General features: G+C 36.2%; 1 pseudogene, besides 1 other annotated feature; it reads left to right on the top strand.

Annotated features, from left to right (window-relative positions):
* Window positions 367-868: an enhancer, noted in NCBI's record as "NANOG hESC enhancer chr13:90016648-90017149 (GRCh37/hg19 assembly coordinates)". NCBI's record gives its function as "activates a minimal SCP1, AML or CMV promoter by ChIP-STARR-seq in primed H9 embryonic stem cells {active_cell/tissue: H9 hESC(primed)}" and the evidence as "EXISTENCE:reporter gene assay evidence [ECO:0000049][PMID:30033119]".
* On the top strand, window positions 1,979-5,509 carry SP3P (Sp3 transcription factor pseudogene; annotated as a pseudogene).

The following is a 17,684-nucleotide window of genomic DNA, read 5'->3' as shown; positions in this document are numbered from 1 at the left end:
GGTTCTGATTAATAATTTGATCAATATCAGACAGAATGATACATGCAAGAGAAATAAATTTTGATTTAATCTCTGCCATTTTTTTTTTTTTGGTACAGCAGCTTAACCTTTCGCCTCACATATGAGTATCCTAATTTTATAAGTTGGAAAATGACAGGCATGTAAAATAACTTTGCCAATATTTTCCAGCAACCAGTAGGTGGTTACTACCTACTAGTGGTGCTTTGAACCCATCTGTCTGGCTGAAAACCCATGTTGTGAGATACTGCCTCTCATGTGATATCTATGAAAACAATTAAAAAGGTTAAGTTTACACCTCGTCAAACTCTTGGGCTGACTGCTATCCTATTTTTGTGATATGGTAGTAATGTATGAAAAGAAAAACTGAGGCTTGTATGAGTAGTTCACTTATGCTATTGCAAGGTATCAAGTTGCAAAGAATTCTTATCTTTCACTCTTCTCTACTTATTATTCAGAACTACAAATCTATTTCAAAAAGAAATGCTGAGTGGCCACTCTTCTTTGGTAGTAGTTTTAATATCTTTGTTTATTCCTAGTATTCCATAGGAATTCCATACCTCAAGCCCACAATGGCTTGCAAGAATTTCTGAGCACCAGGCAATGTTGAGATCCTTGTGTAACCCTGATGAGAAAATTTACATGTAAAAGCCTGAATGTCAGTTAGCTGAGAGGAAATTGTATCTTTTTATCCATTTTTATATTAACTACTTAACAACCAATTCATACTCAATTTTAGCTTAATAGAAATGTTTAATATGAGCCAAATGTGAAAAAAAAATTATATTTATTAAGGTATGATAATCTTTACCACTCTCCAAATTAAAACAACTAAAAAACCAATTTCCTCAAAGAAGATGCTATAGTTAAATTATATATATTTAATTTCTCAATGAAAATAACAATATAATTCAGAAAACATTATCTTCTCAAATTTGTCAACAAATTTAATTTATAATTCCTGCATAAAAGAGTTACATGTGTTCAACTTCTTCTCTTTTATTTCACTCTAAAAAATGACCTTCAGAGTGTAATGAATAATGGATTACTTTTTAAGAAATTGTTCGATGATTACTTATTTTCCTCCTATAGGCCATTATACATTGACTAATTTATTTTGGCAATAATTTAAAATATTTTGTATATATTACAACTAATTATATATATAAAATAAATAAATATATAAAAAGAATATATATATATATATATACACACACATTCTTCCTCCAAAACTCACATTAGCAATTTTAATGTTTGAGAAAATTAAAGCCATCATTTGCCTTAGTTTAAAAATGATACAACGCTTTTTTTTTTTTTTTTTTTTTTTAGACGAAGTCTTGTTCTGTCGCCAGGCTGGAGTGCAGTGGCGCCATCTCAGCTCACTGAAAACTCCGCCTCCCGGGTTCAAGCGATTCTCCTGCCTCAGCCTCCCGAGTAGCTGGGATTACAGGCACCTGCCACCACGCCCAGCTAATTTTTGTATTTTTACAAGAGACGAGGTTTCACAGTGTTGGCCAGGATGGTCTCGAACTCTTGACCTCGTGATCTGCCCTCCTCGGCCTCCCAAAGTGCTGGGATTACAGGCGTGAGCCACCGCGCCCAGCCGTTCAGTTTTATAAATATCCCCAAATGTTTACTATTATTTCATGATTAATCATTTACATAATTTTTCTTTCTCTCTTCTATATTGGTTTGTTAAATTAATTGAAAACATAACAGAGGCGTCCTCCCGGGGATGGGTAGCCGGCGCCCACCTGCCCGCGGACAAGGGAGCCGGGGTGCCTGCGAGCGGGGGACGCCAGGCGGGGCCGGTGGCGGGACGAGGAGGAGGAGAGCGCCGGCCGGCGTTCCCCCAGGCGCAGCCGACGGGGACCCAGTCGCACTTCCTGTATGAGCGGCGGCCCAGCCCTAACCGCCACTCATCCCCTTGTCTCCCTCTCTGAACCCGCCCATCGTGGGTAGGACACTCAGCCGTCACCGCCTGCTCTGCTGGCCGCTACCTGCAGCAAGATAGGGCCGCCAACGCCCGGCGACGACAAGGAGGAGGTGGCCGCCGGAGCCGGGGCACCCGCCGCTGCTGGAGCGACAGGTGATTTGGCTTCTGCACTGTTAGGAGGAGCACCAAACTGATGGGAGGTTTTGTCAGCCACACCTACAACTATAAAAGATGAAGCTGGTAATCTAGTACAGATTCCAGGTGCTGCTACTTCAAGTGGGCAGGCAGTATGTTCTCCCCCTTCAGAATCTGCAGAATGAGCAAACATTTTCAGACGCAGCAGGATCAGATTCATCAAATGGTACGTAGTCCAATCAACAGATGGTCGGCAGGTTCAAACTGGTTTCACAGGCTTTTCAGATAATGGGGGTATAAATGAAGAAGGCAGTCAAATTCAGATCATTCCTGGCTCTAATCAAACCTTACTTGCCTCTGGAACACCTGCCAACATCCAGAATCTCCTACCACGGACTGGTCAAGTCCAGGTTCAGGGAGTTGCAATTGGTGGTTCATCTTTTGCTGGTCCAACCCAAGTAGTTGCTAATGTGCCTCTTGGTCTACCAGGAAATATTACGTTTGTACCAATCAATAGTGTCGATCTAGATTCTTTGGGACTCTCCGACAGTTCTCAGACAGTGACTGCAGGCATTAATGCCTATGGACATTTGATAAACACAGGACAAGGTACGGATAGTTCAGACAATTCAGAAAAGACTGGTGAGAGAGTTTCTCCTGATATTAATTAAACTAATACTGATACAGATTTATTTGTGCCAACATCTTCATCACAGTTGGCTGTTAGGATACATAGTATAGGTATATTACAACAAAACACAAATAGCTTGACTACTTCTAGTGGGCAAGTTCATTCTTCAGATCTTCAGGGAAATTATATCCAGTCACCTGTTTCTGAAGAGACACAGACACAGAATATTCAGATTTCTCCAGCACAGCCTGTTGTACATCTACAACTTCAAGAGTCTCGGCCGCCAACCAGTGAAGTCCAAATTGTGCAAGGTATTACACCACAGACAATCCATAGTGTGCAAGCCAATGGTCAAAATATATCACAACAGGCTTCGCAAAATCTTCAGTTGCAGCTGAATCCTGGAAACTTTTTAATTCGGGCACAGACAGTGACCCCTTCTGGACAGATAACTTGGCAAATGTTTCAAATACAAGGTGTCCAGAGCTTGCAGAATTTGCAAATACAGAAAACTGCTGCCCAACAACTAACTTTGACACCTGTTCAAACACTCACACTTGGTCAATTTGTGGCAGGTGGAGCCTTCACTTCAACTCCAGTTAGTCTAAGCACTGGTCAGTTGTCAAATCTACAGTTACAGTAAACTCTATAGATTCTACTGGTATACAGCTACATCCAGGAGAGAATGCTGACAGTCCTGTAGATACTAGGATCAAGGAAGAAGAACCTGATCCTGAAGAGTGGCACAACTGTGTTGTGACCACAGTTAAGAGTACACGTGGCAGATGAAGAAGGGGACCAACAACATCAAGAAGGAAAAGGACTTCAGAGGGTAGCTTGCACCTGCCCCAACTGTAAAGCAGGTGGTGGGAGAAGTACCAATCTTGGGAAAAAGAAGCAACACATTTGTCCTATACCGGGGTGTGGTAAAGTCTATGGGAAGACCTCACATCTCAGAGCTCATCTACATTGGCATTCTGGACCATGCCCTTTTGTTTGTAACTGGATGTATTGTGGTAAAAGATTTACTCGAAGTGATGAATTACAGAGGCACAGTAGAACACATACAGGTGAGAAGAAATTTGTTTGTTCAGAATGTTCAAAATGCTTTGTGAGAAGTGACCATCTTGCCGAACATACTAAAACACAGCAGAATAAAAAAGGTATTCACTCTAGCAGTACGGTGCTGGCATCTGTGGAAGCTGTGCAAGACGATACTTTGATTACTGCAGGAGGAACAAAACTTATCCTTGCAAATATTCAACAAGCTTCTGTTTCAGGAATAGGAACGGTTAATACCTCTGCCACCAGCAATCCAGATACCCTTACCAACACTGAAATACCTTTATGGCTTGTCACAGTTTCTGGAAATGAGACAATGGAGTAAATATTACACAAACACATATTCACTGTGGTTATTTTTATACAGTACTGAGAAGAATATTGTTCCTAAGTTCTTAGATATCTTTGTATTGATGTGCAAAAATTTTTGGATTGACAGTAACTTGGTTATACATGACACTGAAATGCCTTACTTTGTATGATATTCCATAGTATATTAAAATGGTAAAATTGCATGGATTTTGTAGATACTTTTGGAATCTAGAAGAAATGAAATTTTACCACGTTATATAAAGAGAAAATTGAATTTAACAATGCGAATGGTAGTCTAACCAAATGCATCAATACTGTGTGGTTTAGTGTAAAAATGAGAACATGTTAGTATTTATCTATTGTAAGATAAAGCTGGTGGGTGAAAGAAATCATGTTATGATAAAAATTTTGTAATTTTCTTGATGACTGGAATTTTTATTATGCATAACTGACAAATCAAGTGTCCACACAAATGTTACATAGTGTAAGTTTTACTTAGCTTATCAATTTGTTGTTTCGAAGCTAATTATTTTAATTAGGTTAACTATCTACAAATTTTAAGCATTACTCTGGTAAGATTTTGAAAACTACATTTTAACATGGAACTCTAGGGATAGTCACCTTTTAAATCCTGTTAAAAAGCCATGTTTAAGATTTAACTTGCCAAAACAATGTCTTGTTAATATTATTTCAATAACAAAATTGGGCAACATAACCAATGTTTAAGAAGGTTTAAAATGTATAGCTTGAGGCATTTGGATGGTAAGAAAATGTTATAGTGAATTATCCCTTTTCTTGAATATTGGGGGACCAAAACAATAAGGCGTATCACATCTTAGCAGTGATTTTTATCCAATTTTGTTTTCAAAAACCATACGTCTGCCAGCGCCTTAAAAGCCATCATGTAAATTACCAGTAAAGTATAACATATGCAAACATAACCAAATCACTTTCATAGTGACGATACTCCAACCATATGGATATTAGTCATAGACAAACTAGAGGTTTTATCATTTTTTTGTCTTTTTTTTTTTTTTGTCCAGGTAGTCAGTCTGCACTTAAATATCAATCATTTTCCTTTTTTGCTTCTTCCCTTAAAATTTATATGTATCTAGTACATTTAATTGAGAACGTATTTTTTTATTATGCTGTATTTTCTTTTTATTTTTAAATTAGTTTATATTTTCAATTAAAAAAATGTACAAAATAAAGCTACAATGCTGGTCATGGAAGAGCTATACAATTTTCCTAAATGTATACCTGTAACTGCAGCAGTTCACCTATTGCAAAAATTTGGAATTCTGTTCATTTGTTATTCTTGAGACCATCTCAAATTTAAAGGCTACCTTGATGTATGTTTAAAGTGTATTATAACAGTGTGATAGTTAATAAAACACTATTCCTTTTTCTTTTGAAAAAAATAACAGAGGGATATGGAGTTCAATATTTATTTTAATTGTGTACTTTTCTGTTATTCAGCAATAAATAATAAATAAGCAATAAATATGTTTTATATAGGCGAAGGCAATTTGCAAAAACTTAGACCATTCACCATATTAGAAAAAAGCAGGACAATTTTATATTGTTGTAGAAATATACTTTATGGAATACACTATTGAATCTAAGCATTAGTGGCTATTGCTGCTTCTTAAATTTTCATGCCATGAATTCAAAAATACCTTATATATTTCCTTTCTTTAGTGTTCCAGTAGTTGATAAAAGATCCAATGAAATGAAACTAGGTTGGGTATCAAAAATTTAAAAGTTTTATTGACAGAATGGTATTACTCTACAATAGATAATTTCCCCACTTAATCTGATAGTGATTTTTTTAAAATCTTATTTGAAGTATTACAGTGTACAAATAAATTCTGGTGACTTTTTTCATTGAGAGTAAAATCATGCTATTTGATAAATATAATTTTTTTTTTTTTTTGAAGTGGAGTCTCACTCTGTCACCAGGCTGGAGTGCAATGGTGCGATCTTGGCTCACCACAAACTCCGCCTCCCAGGTTCAAGCAATTCCCCTGCCTCAGCCTCCTGAGTAGCTGGGACTACAGGTGCACACCACCACGCCTGGCTAATTTTTTGTATTTTAGTAGAGACGGGATTTCAACATGTTGTCCAGGATGGTCTTGATCTCCTGACCTTGTGATCTGCCCACCAGTTTTTATAATTATGTAAGTGAATAAATTAAATCCAAGGATTTTTAAAAAATTGTAGATGCTCATATACACTTAGTTATATATACATTTCTGTACATCAGTTCTATATGTTACACCCATCATTTGAGTCTCATATTTAATCTTTAGATGTTTCATTCTTTCAGATGTTTGAAATATGAAGGAGAGTAGATAACACTGTTAAATTAGCCATAACTACTGAGAGGTTTGTGTATAACCTGGGTGTAATTTGCAACTCACATATGTCTTTTGCCAAAATCCCTTGGTAAAATAAATGTAAACTAGGATCAGAAGAATCAGGGCTTGGGTAAGATGAGACCATTAAGGTGCAAAGTTTAAGGCACAAGATTCAACCGAATGCAAAAACATCTGTCATCAAAATAATGACTTTTCAGAGGATGGGCTGACCAGATGTCTCCAATCTGGAATTTGCCTCTTAGCCTGTTGTGCAGATGTGGGTTGATTACACGGGATTGGGCAATAGCAGACGGGGCTTCATATTCAGTAAAGAGCCTGAGCATTAGAACGGATCTGGATACAGGCTTTTGAGGTGATGCATCTGTGCAAGGTGGGAGAGTTGGTCAGGACCTTGAGGGCAGGTGGAAGCAGAATGTCTGTACAATGTTTCTTATTGATACTGTTCTAAATAAAGAAAAAGATGCTAACCTTACTGCCAAATCCTCGAGAAAGAAGTGTACTCTTTAGGTGAGGACTTCTCTGATAACAAAGAGTGTAAACCTAAGTTAATGGTCAGCCCACATGAAGTTCCTCTTGTCAAATTTTATGATTCATTACACCTGAAAAGAGAGTATTTAGATAGCAAAGAGAAAAATGAAACTAATGTTGAATTATTGAATGTATCTAATTAAGCAGTCTGCCAGTTGTTGGACATTTAGGTCATTCCAGGTTTTCCTTGCTGTAAACAGCCTAAGGATGAGAGAACCAAAAGCTTAACTCCAATACAGTCAGAAGGAAAATTCTTTCAGTTGAAGGAATGAACATTTTTATTCCCATCATAACATGTAACAAATTTTAGTTCTATATCAAAAATGGAAAATTGGAGTTCTTTACTGATGATGGGAAAGAACAAAAAGACAACATCCACTTGTGGTTCAGAGTGATACTGAAACCTGAAAAGGGAAGGAGAATCCCCTAAACATGGGTGCAGGAATCCCTACTCTCCCTTTCTCGCCTCTTGTTAATTTTCCTTCTCGCCCTGCTCTGCCTAAGCTGGAGTCATGGACTTGTGTGTTCCCCACACAGACTTGCACCAGGCTGCCATCTGGCCCTGGCCCTGGCCCTGGCCCAGTGGGCACTAACTATCCTCAGTTAGCAGATCTGGCAAGTCCTTCTTGGCCTGTGTCCTCTCAGTCCATGCATGGTATTTAATGATGTGAACCTCACTTTTCTGAAATTGCACCCTCCTCTTCTGGCTTCTAGGATAACTCTGTCTAAGACCACTCTCTGTTCTTCCCATCATCAAATGCTGCTGTTCACCACAGTGCTTTCTCTGACTTTCTTGACAAATTCTGTCTTTCATAGGGCGAAAGCTTAGCCACATGATGATGACTCCGACTGAATTCTCTATAGAGTTCCAGGACAAAATTTTCAGTTTCTAATTGTATGTTCTCCATCTTGCATTTAAAAAATTTAAATACATTCCTTTCTCTCCTGATTCAACTAAAAAGAAAAAAAATTGATCCCTTTGCCAAGTTCTTTCAATTAATGTTATATTATCCCATTCATTCGGGTTTGAAATCTCATAGCTGTCTTTAACTCTTCTTTATTCCTATATCTAATCAGCCACCATCTCCTGTCAGTTCTTTTTCCCAAAAAGGGTTACATTTTGGTTATTTGAGGCTGAATTATACATGGTTGAGGCTGAGCAGTGAGCTGGGACCCCTTTACCTCTCCAGCTGAGAGCATTTATTGGCCAACTGTCAAGCGGGGAAGCAAGAACCCAGGAGGCAGAAGAGCTGCCTTTGATGTAAGCAGAGAAGAGAGATCAGAACTCTGTTTGGCCTCCTTTTCTCAGCTTCCTGCCTCCACCTCAAGTCACATATGCTCCCAAGGCTTGACCCATTCCCAAAATGAATGATCAGCATTCATCCACTAACCAGAAGCATGTCCCAGCTCTCTTCTGTGTCCCACCATTAGAAAATCAAAAGCTGACTTTAGATTTGATTTAGTTGTAGTTAGGAATTAACAACTTCTTTGTCACTACCAATTTCTCCCAGTTAATGGAATATGAATAGTAATTCTAGAATCTTTTATCTCCTTTCTTACTATCATAGCCCCTATTCAAATCTTCAGATTCTCATATCTAGATGATTGTAGAAATAGCCTACTGGTCTTCTCTGCTTAGAGTCACATTCCAATTCAGCACCCACCTTGCATTATTCTAACATACACCTTTGATCATACTGTTTCTCCACCAAAAGCTTCAATGGTCAAGTACTGAACCTTGCTTATGTATCATTTACATTGCTAGTATCCCTGCTATAACAAGTTCTTACTTACTCAGAATAAGTTTAAAATGTAGTACAAAACACACATAAACTGACAGTAGCTCAAGTGCCCACCAATAAGGAATTGCTAAATAAATTCTAGTATATTCATGACATGGGATAATAGGAAGTCGTCCATGATATGTAATAATAGGAAGTCATTTGAAAGAATGAGATGATGGCTTACAAATATATCTACCACATATCTTCCTTGTTTTTATGTTTTATAGGAAAACAAAAATTTAGGAAGAACACACACCAAACAGTTATAACCCGTAGCTACCCGAGGAGTGAGATTAAGAGGAAAAGAAGGCTTCTATGTTAATTGTTTTATAAGCGTCTGTGTTCTTAAAATGTGTCATAGCTTGCAGGTATTATTTTAAATATCAAAAGCCAATAAGGGTTTATAAATTCATTTGTTATCTGAGAGCTTCATTTAGAAATTGTTATCATTATATTTTTATTTGGGATACATTAACATACGTGTATGTATAAACCTAAGATTTAATAATATAATGTACTCACTAGACTGTGCTCATTAAAGCCAGAGTTTATATAATCCAAACAAATAAAAGGGGACAATAATATTGCAAGGATTTGGGATGTCTAAAGTGGCCTGTAGAAATACGTAGATTTGAATCTCAAGTTTAGAAAGCCCTGAACCCCATATTGAGATCATCTGGGGACTTGCTCAATTAGGAGAGGCCATCTCACTGCGTGTGTCACTGAGGCAAAGATGGCCTCAAAAGCGTCCAGCCTGTGCAGTTGCCCTGGGCTCCATGCTCAGCAGTGCCGCATGCTTGATTTAAAGCTCTGCTGTCACTGTCTTGACATTCTTATTGGATCCAAACAAGGAGCCCCACGTTTTTGTTTTGCACTGTGCACTACGCATTACATAACTGGTCCTGCATAGAGATGGGTTGTGGTACCTGTGCAGGAAGGTGAAATAGGAAAGATGATTTTCTAAGTATGCAGCAAACATGGAATCATACTAAGTGATACCTCATGCTATTAAAATTAATGATGTGAGAAAAATACACTTAAAGTTTTGAAGGTAATTTTTATTGTTTGAGAGCAACATCCTCTGAGATGTGGTGAAGGTGATAATGTAGTCAAGTGGATATAAATCCTGCATATTTACCTAGAGATCATACATTAAGATATGAGGCCATGCAACATAGTTAAAAGGGAATATGGAATTAGATGATATTTATCTAAAATACTAGCGCAAGCACTTACATGCTTCTTGACCTTAGGTAAGTTCTGTGTTCACTCTTGCTCCACTGAAAAACTGAGTACTAATGCCCATTTATGAGGCAGCAAACAGGTAGCCATCAAAAATGTGTCCTATGATGTTGGCCTCATAAGTGTCTTAAATTATTTAGTTTTTTTCTAACATTAAGCAGAAGTAGATTTTAATCCCAAATACAGATTACTGGCTTTACTGAAAAGAAAGAAATTTTGACAAAATTGGGCCAGCATGACAGGAATCCCCTGAAGCTAATGCCTGCTTGCTTTACAGAAGATTGTCTCCTCCACTTTGAAACTTTTCCAACATTCCATATTACCTCCCCTGTCCTCTTCATCCAGGTGCCGGGTTATTGTAGACATCTATGTTTTATTCCTGACCTACTTTAGACGTTTTGAGAGAGAATTAACTAGATAGCAAAAGGGACATGCTCAGCACATATTTAATGCTAAACAAAGGAAAGCGTAGAAAATTGTGAAGGCAATGCTGCTGCTGCCGCCGCTATTTGATAATGACATCCTGGTTGGCTAATATTATATAATCTTCATAACAACTCTAAGAATTAGACACTAATAGTGTCACCTTTGTAACAATATGTAAAACGATTTTTAAAAGAGGTCATAAAAACGATTTTTAAAAGAGGTCATATAACTTTCCCAAACCCACAGAGCTAGTAAGTGCCAGAGTTAAGATGAAAACTGAGAAAGTCTGATTTGAGAGTTTTTCATTCAAGTGCTGCTGTTACTACCCCTACTCTAACTTAGTAGTTATGGACGTATACTTTCAAATTCTGCACAATGGTAGAATATTCTGATTTTAAATTAGTATTAAGGTGAGTCTTATTAATTTAAAGCAAACAAATAAGTGCAAATGCAAGGGTATTTATTATTGAATACTTAATTTTTATCCCACATAACTTATATGCAAATTATAGGCAAAAATGTATGTTATTGAATAGAGGTGAGAGAATATCCAGTTTAAACCCCTGAAATCTTAATATGTATATATCTCAGATCATCATAATAGTTTCATACAGCTTTTGCGTGTAATTGTGCATAACAATGCAACAAGTAGCTTATTGCAGGTTCTGTTAAACTAATTTTCAATAATTGTTCTGTTCCTACTTCTAATATTTCTCTTGTCTGCACCCCTTCCTCTGCTGTCTTTCATTATGATTAAAGAAATAGTTTTAATTATAATTTTAATCTGCTTTAATATAAGACTCCATGCCAAGCTATTAAAAACTTGTTAACAAATACAGATAATAATGAATAAAATATTTGCAAAATTTAATGTAAAAAGTTTAAGAAGTAAAAGCTTAATAGCCTGACATAGAATGGAAACCATAGTATTTTTGTATGCAGCAATATTAAAGTAATCCTCAAAATCATAACAGGCTGGTCTCTATGGTTTGCTCCCTTCCTGCATGAGCCAATTGTTTTCATAAATGTCAATAGTGATATGGCTGAAATACTGTAGCAGTCCAAGTGTCTCAGTTTTCTCTGCATTGTCTTGATTTTTCTATTTGTTTTTTCCCTTTGGTATCTGATCATCAGATAGCAGGAATGATTCCTGTATAATATTCATTATTGGATTCTGACCGTATCCTGTGGTGCAGGTCAAAGTCAATCAATACATTGTATCTTGAATACCTCAAAGGATTTCAGCTTTAATTAGCACATTTCATAATTTATAAAGAATTGAAGCATTAGCAAGTTCATAGTAGTGGTCAAGAAATATAGGCAAATAATTTGACCTTGATGATATCACAGAAAAATTAAAATAATAACAAAGTTTAGTCAAGGCCAAAGGAGAAAATTGGGCCTTCAGAGTTTAGTATAGTCTTATTTACAACATATCGCACTAATGATTGCACATATAGTAAAAGCGTTTTTTTTTCCCCTTGCATAAGGAAAGGAAGATGTATTTTTTTCATGAATACATTTTAATGCAAAAATCCTGTTGTATACAATCTTGTAATTGATTACTTCACTTACTGAATTATTAGCACATAATTCTGGATTAACAGTGAAACTCCAAACAAGTTTTATATGTATTGACACATCAATGTAGTGTTTCTATTGTCTCTTTTTAACAACTAATGCCTTAATCAACCCAAGCTATGAAAAATAAAAGACACTATATTCAAATGTAAGGGGTGTTGCATATGTGTAAAAACACTAATTAGCTAATTCTTCAATAGGAAAACTTTTGATAGAGAAAAAGTATCAGAACCAACCAACCAAATAATAAACACAAAAACAACTGTGCTATTTATTTTTCTGCCTAAAACTTTTGTTATAGAAAGGTTTAGTTTGGAGTTTTCAGCCAGAATAAACTCGAATCAGCTCCCTAACCTTTTTTTTTTCTTCATTTTATCCCATTAAATGCAATGGGGCCCACTACGCTTGTTATAGCTACTACTCCAGAATGAGAATACAAGAAACAAAAAGCAACCTTTAATGGGTTCTTGTGCCCTAGGAATTGATAAAAATAATCAGTCAGCTGCTGATTCTCTTACCGTTTTTTCTTGTGATGTTGGCAAGTTTGCTTTGATTTGGCCTTTTCTTGCATCAGAGACTCACATTTGAGCACTGAAAATGGAGAACAGGAGGGCAAAGGTTGGCAATGGAGAGCGGGAAGGCAAAGGTTGGCAATGGAGAGTGGGAGGGCAAAGGTTGGCAAAAAAGGCCCCAGTGTCTGCTATGGTTTTAGACCAGCCAAGCCCATTGGGATTAGAGAGCCTTTCTCATGGTGCTGACTGAGTTACTGCAGTTCTGGGTTAGACTGAGAAACAACACCATGTTAAATAGTAAAGTAATATTATTTATTTTAGCATCTTTGGTGTCTGTTTTTTCCTTAGTTTTACTCCTGTTCAAGCGGTAATCATGCTTCTGAATTCCATGGCTAAATATCACTTCAATATTTACTCTTCTTTCATTACTACTTTGTAATAGGTTAAATAAATTATGATATCTTGAAAATAACCAATTAAATGAGTACTTTTTACATGCAATGGTCAAAATAAGATCCTTTGTTTTAATCCTAGAATGATACTAAATTACTCATCAGAATCACACGAAATAATAAGATCAAGTATTTTCCCTTACACACAGGCAAAAAATTTGGAAAACTGTTACAATTTAAATGAACTCTAATATATTCTAGCTTTGAGGGATATCTGAGTGATAGAAATATTACTTTATCCACCATATACAAAAACAAAAAACAGGTAAATTTTGTAGTAGTTAAAATTTACCTGTCATTCTGAAAGTAATTAAATCAACCAAGAGGAACATTTTTATTTGTTTCAAGGTCACAATTTTGATTTTGTCGATTAAGAGACAAACTCTGTAAAATATTTGAAAAGATTTATTCTGAGTGAAATGTGAGTGATTATGGCCTATGACACCACCCTCAGGAGACTCTGAGAATGTGTGCCCAAAGTGGTCTGGGTGCAGCTTGGTTTTATACATTTTAGGGACACATGAGACTTCAATCAAATACATACAAGGAATACATTGGTTAAGTCCAGAAAGGTGGGACAACTTGAAGTGGGCTTATAGGTACTCCAGCTTACAAGTAGGTCTAAAAATTTTCTGGTTGACAATTGGTTGAGTTTATCAAAAGACATGGGATTAATAGAAAGAAATGTCTGACTTAAGATAAGAGATTATAGAGAAATTTTAATCATGCAGATGACACCTCCAGGTAGCAGGCTTCAGAGAGAACAGATTGCAAATGTTTGTTAATGCTTCTTAAAGGTCTGTGTTGATGTTAGTGCTGCAGAGGTATAATGAGGCATATCTGACCCCGCATTTCCTGTCACGGCCTCAAAGTCTCTCAGGTTAGATTTTAAAAGAGTGCCCTGGCCAAGAGGAGAAAGTCCATTCAGATGGTTGGGGCGGGGCGGGGGCGCTTAGAATTTCATTTTTGGTTTACAATTTCCATACACCTTTGGCTTTTAAAAGTAATGAGCCATGTGTCAAAGAAATAAGAAAACATTGACTTGAAGAAGCAGTAACAACATAATTAGCTTCTAGAGATCCAGAATTAAAATATTAAAATTTAAAAACAATATATGACTGTGTTACCTGTGGGAGAGATCAGAGTTACCCTGAGTTACCAGCGGCATATCCGCATGGGTCTGCAGCAACTTCAGTCCTTGCCTCCTCAGAAGAAAGAATTTGACTGAGGTGTGTCAAGCAGAAAAAGAGACCAAGAGCGAGTTTCATAGCAGGAGTGGAAGTTTATTTAAAAAGGCTTCAGAACAGGAAAGAAAGGAGAGATCACTTGGAAGATATCCAAGAGGGCGCCTGAAGGTCACAGAGAGAAACTAAAGGGTGTTTAACATTGATCATGGGGCTTTATAGGCTTGCCTGTTTCCCATGATTCTTCCCTTATGGTGGGCTTCCCGCATGCGCAGTGCCTTCCTTAGCCTTGGGAAATGAGCACGCTCAGTGTGTTTACGATGTTTATGCATATCCGTTTGAGGTTTTCTTCCCTTTTTTTGGTGGAGTGTACCCAGAAGCTCATATTTCACCGTTTTGTCTCTTAGTGCGCATGCTCAGTTTCTTCTCCCTGGCATCTGCATTCAGTTAACACTTTTAATGTTAATAGCTGTTAATCATCAGGAGACAGCCTCTCCCTGGCACTCTGGGTGGGCTGCTGAATTATCATTTTTAGAGAGTCAGTGTGATAATTGTCAAACAATCACCTGATATTCCTATTGAGTCTGGGGAGAGCCCCCTCTTACCCTGCTCATACCTATCTAGCTACCTATAACAACTGGGCTTTAAGTTGACTGTTAGGACCTTATTTATTCACTTATTTATTAGGACCTTATTATTCACTTATTTATTTGGATGTCACTTTTTTTTTTTTTTTTTGAGACAGTCTTACTCTGTTGCCCAGGCTGGAGTACAGTGGTGTGATCTTGGCTAATGCAACCTCCACCTCCCGGGTTCAAGTGATTCTCCTGCCTCAGCTTCCCCAGTAGCTGGGGTTATAGGTGTCCACCACCATGCCCGGCTATATATATAAATATATATACTTGTATTTTGGCAGAGATGGGGTTTCACCATGTTGGCCAGGCTGGTCTTGAACTCCTGACCTCAAATGATCCACCTGCCTTGGCCTCCCAAAGTGCTGGGATTACAGGCATGAGCCACCCTACCTGGCCAGATGTTACTTTCTAAATCATATTATTAGGATTACATTGAGTTATTAGATTACATTTGTAAAATTTACTGCTTAACAATATTAGATCTTTCAATCCATGATCACTGTACATATCTTCATTTTTAAGAGTGTCTTTGTTTCTTGCATCAACATTTTATACTTTCAGTGTGGTGATCCTGGTCATATTTTATTAAATTAATTTCTAAGTATTTTAAAGTGATATTTGATGTTATTGTAATTGATTTTTATTTTTATTTTCAATTGTTTTCTGCTAGTAAGTAACTATGAAATTTAGGCCTGTATATGAATCTCATAGTCCATTACTTTGTCCAATTAACTTATTAGTTCTTGTAACTGTTTTGCAAATTTTTGTAAGATTTTGTATGGACAGAATCATGTCATTTGCAAATACAGAGAGTTTTCCTTCTTCCTCTTTGATGTTTACATACTTTATTTATTTATTTATTTATTTATTTATTTATTATTTTTATTTTTATGTTCCTGACTAGAAACTGCAGAACAAACCTGAACAGAATTGGTGAGAGCCTGCCAATATCTTGTGCTTCATCCGAGAGGGAAAGAAGTGAACAGTTTATTGTTGACTATGTGCTATAAATTGTTCATAGATCTTGTTAGATAAAGAAAGTTCTCTTATATTCTTAGCTTGCTGGTATTTTTAAAAATCATGAATGGATGGTATTGTTTTCAAATTATTTATATGCATCTATTAAAATGATTGTATGGGTTATACTTTATTTTGGTATAGTGGTGAAATGCTCTGATTCCATTTCGTATGTCAAATTGATCTGAATTTCTAAGAAAAACCTTACTGTGTTTTAATATAGGGTTCTTTTTATGTATATCTGGGTTTGATTTGCTAATATCCTGTTCAGTATTTCTGAATTTGTATTCACAAGCGACATTGCTCTGCATTTTTGTCTCTATCAGATTTTGTTACTAGGGTTATGATGAACTAATAAAACAAGTTAGGAAGTTATTCTTCTATTTCCTGAAAAGTTTTATATAGGATATTCTTTCAGTATTTTCTAAAAGGAATTGTATAAGAATTATGACAATTCTTTATTAATGGTCTGACAGAATTTAAGTAGAAAGCCATGTAGTTCTGAAGTAATTTTTTTAGAAAAAAATTTTTCATAACAAATTTAATTTATATAAGGTGTACATTTGTAGGAATGGTGTGTTTATGTGTGTGCACATTTATGCATACGTGTGGCTATACGGATGGTCCGTGGCTTACAAGGGTATGACTTCCGATTTTTCAACTTTATGATGCTGAGAAAGCGATATGCATTTAGTAGAAACTGTACCTCCTATATGACCATCCTGTTTCTCACTTTCAGTGAAATTAATAAGTTACATAAGTTTAATAATAAGTTACATAAGATATTCAGCACTTTATTATAAGATAGGCTTTGTGGTAGATAATTTTGACCATCTGTAGGCTAATGTAAGTATTCTAACCATGTTAAGGTAGGCTAGGCTAAGCTATGATGTTTGGTAGGTGATTGATACAGTCTGGCTCTGTGTCCCCACCCAAATCTCATTTTGAATTTGTAATCTGAATTGTAAGCCCCGTGTGTTAGGGGAGGAACGTTGTGGGAGGTGATTAGATTATCGAGGTGTTTCTCTCATGCTGTTCTAGTGATAGTGAGTGAATTCTCATGAGATCTGATAGTTTTATAAGGGGTCTTTCCCTTCTTCACTCTGCACTTCTCTCCTGCCATGTGAAGAAGGACATGTTGGTTTCTCCTTCTACCTTGACTGTAAGTATCCTGAGGCCTCCCCAGCCATGCAGAACTGTGAGTCAACTAAACCACCTTCCTTTATAAATTATGCAGTCTTGGGTATTTATTCATAGCAACATGAGAAGAGACTAATACAGTAGGTTAGGAATACTAAATGCATTTTCAATTTGTGATGTTTATAATTTAGAATGGGTTTATTGATAAGTAGCAACATCATAGGTTGAGAACTATTTGTATAGAGATTTTTTCTTCTTGCATAATTTTTGATAAATTATATATTTTTAAAAGTATGTATGTCATCTAATTTGCTAGATTGCTGTCATAAATTTATTCATAATATTCTATCACTTTCAACTTCTGTAGAATCTGTAATGATAACCCTTCTTTCATTTCCAATACTGATAATTATGTTGTTTGCTTTCTATTTTTTCAGTATATCGATTTTGTTAATTACTATAAAATTGTTTTTGTTGTTTATAGATTATTTGCTGTTTTTTTATATTTTGTTGATTTTCCCTTTTATGTTATAATTTACCTTTCTTTAACTTACTATGCTGTTTCTTTTCATACCTTTTAAAGTGAAAGCTAGGATCATCGAAATTTAGATATATCACTATTTCTAAAACAGGCATTTAAAGCTGTACTTTGTCCTTTATACAATTCTCTTGTTGCATACTACAATTTTTATGTTATATTTCAATTAG

Source organism: Homo sapiens, chromosome 13 (assembly GCF_000001405.40).
Source record: "Homo sapiens chromosome 13, GRCh38.p14 Primary Assembly".
Taxonomy (NCBI): Eukaryota; Metazoa; Chordata; class Mammalia; order Primates; family Hominidae; genus Homo; species Homo sapiens.
The sequence above is the reverse complement of the archived record's forward strand: the minus strand, read 5'-3'. Positions and strand labels throughout refer to the sequence as shown.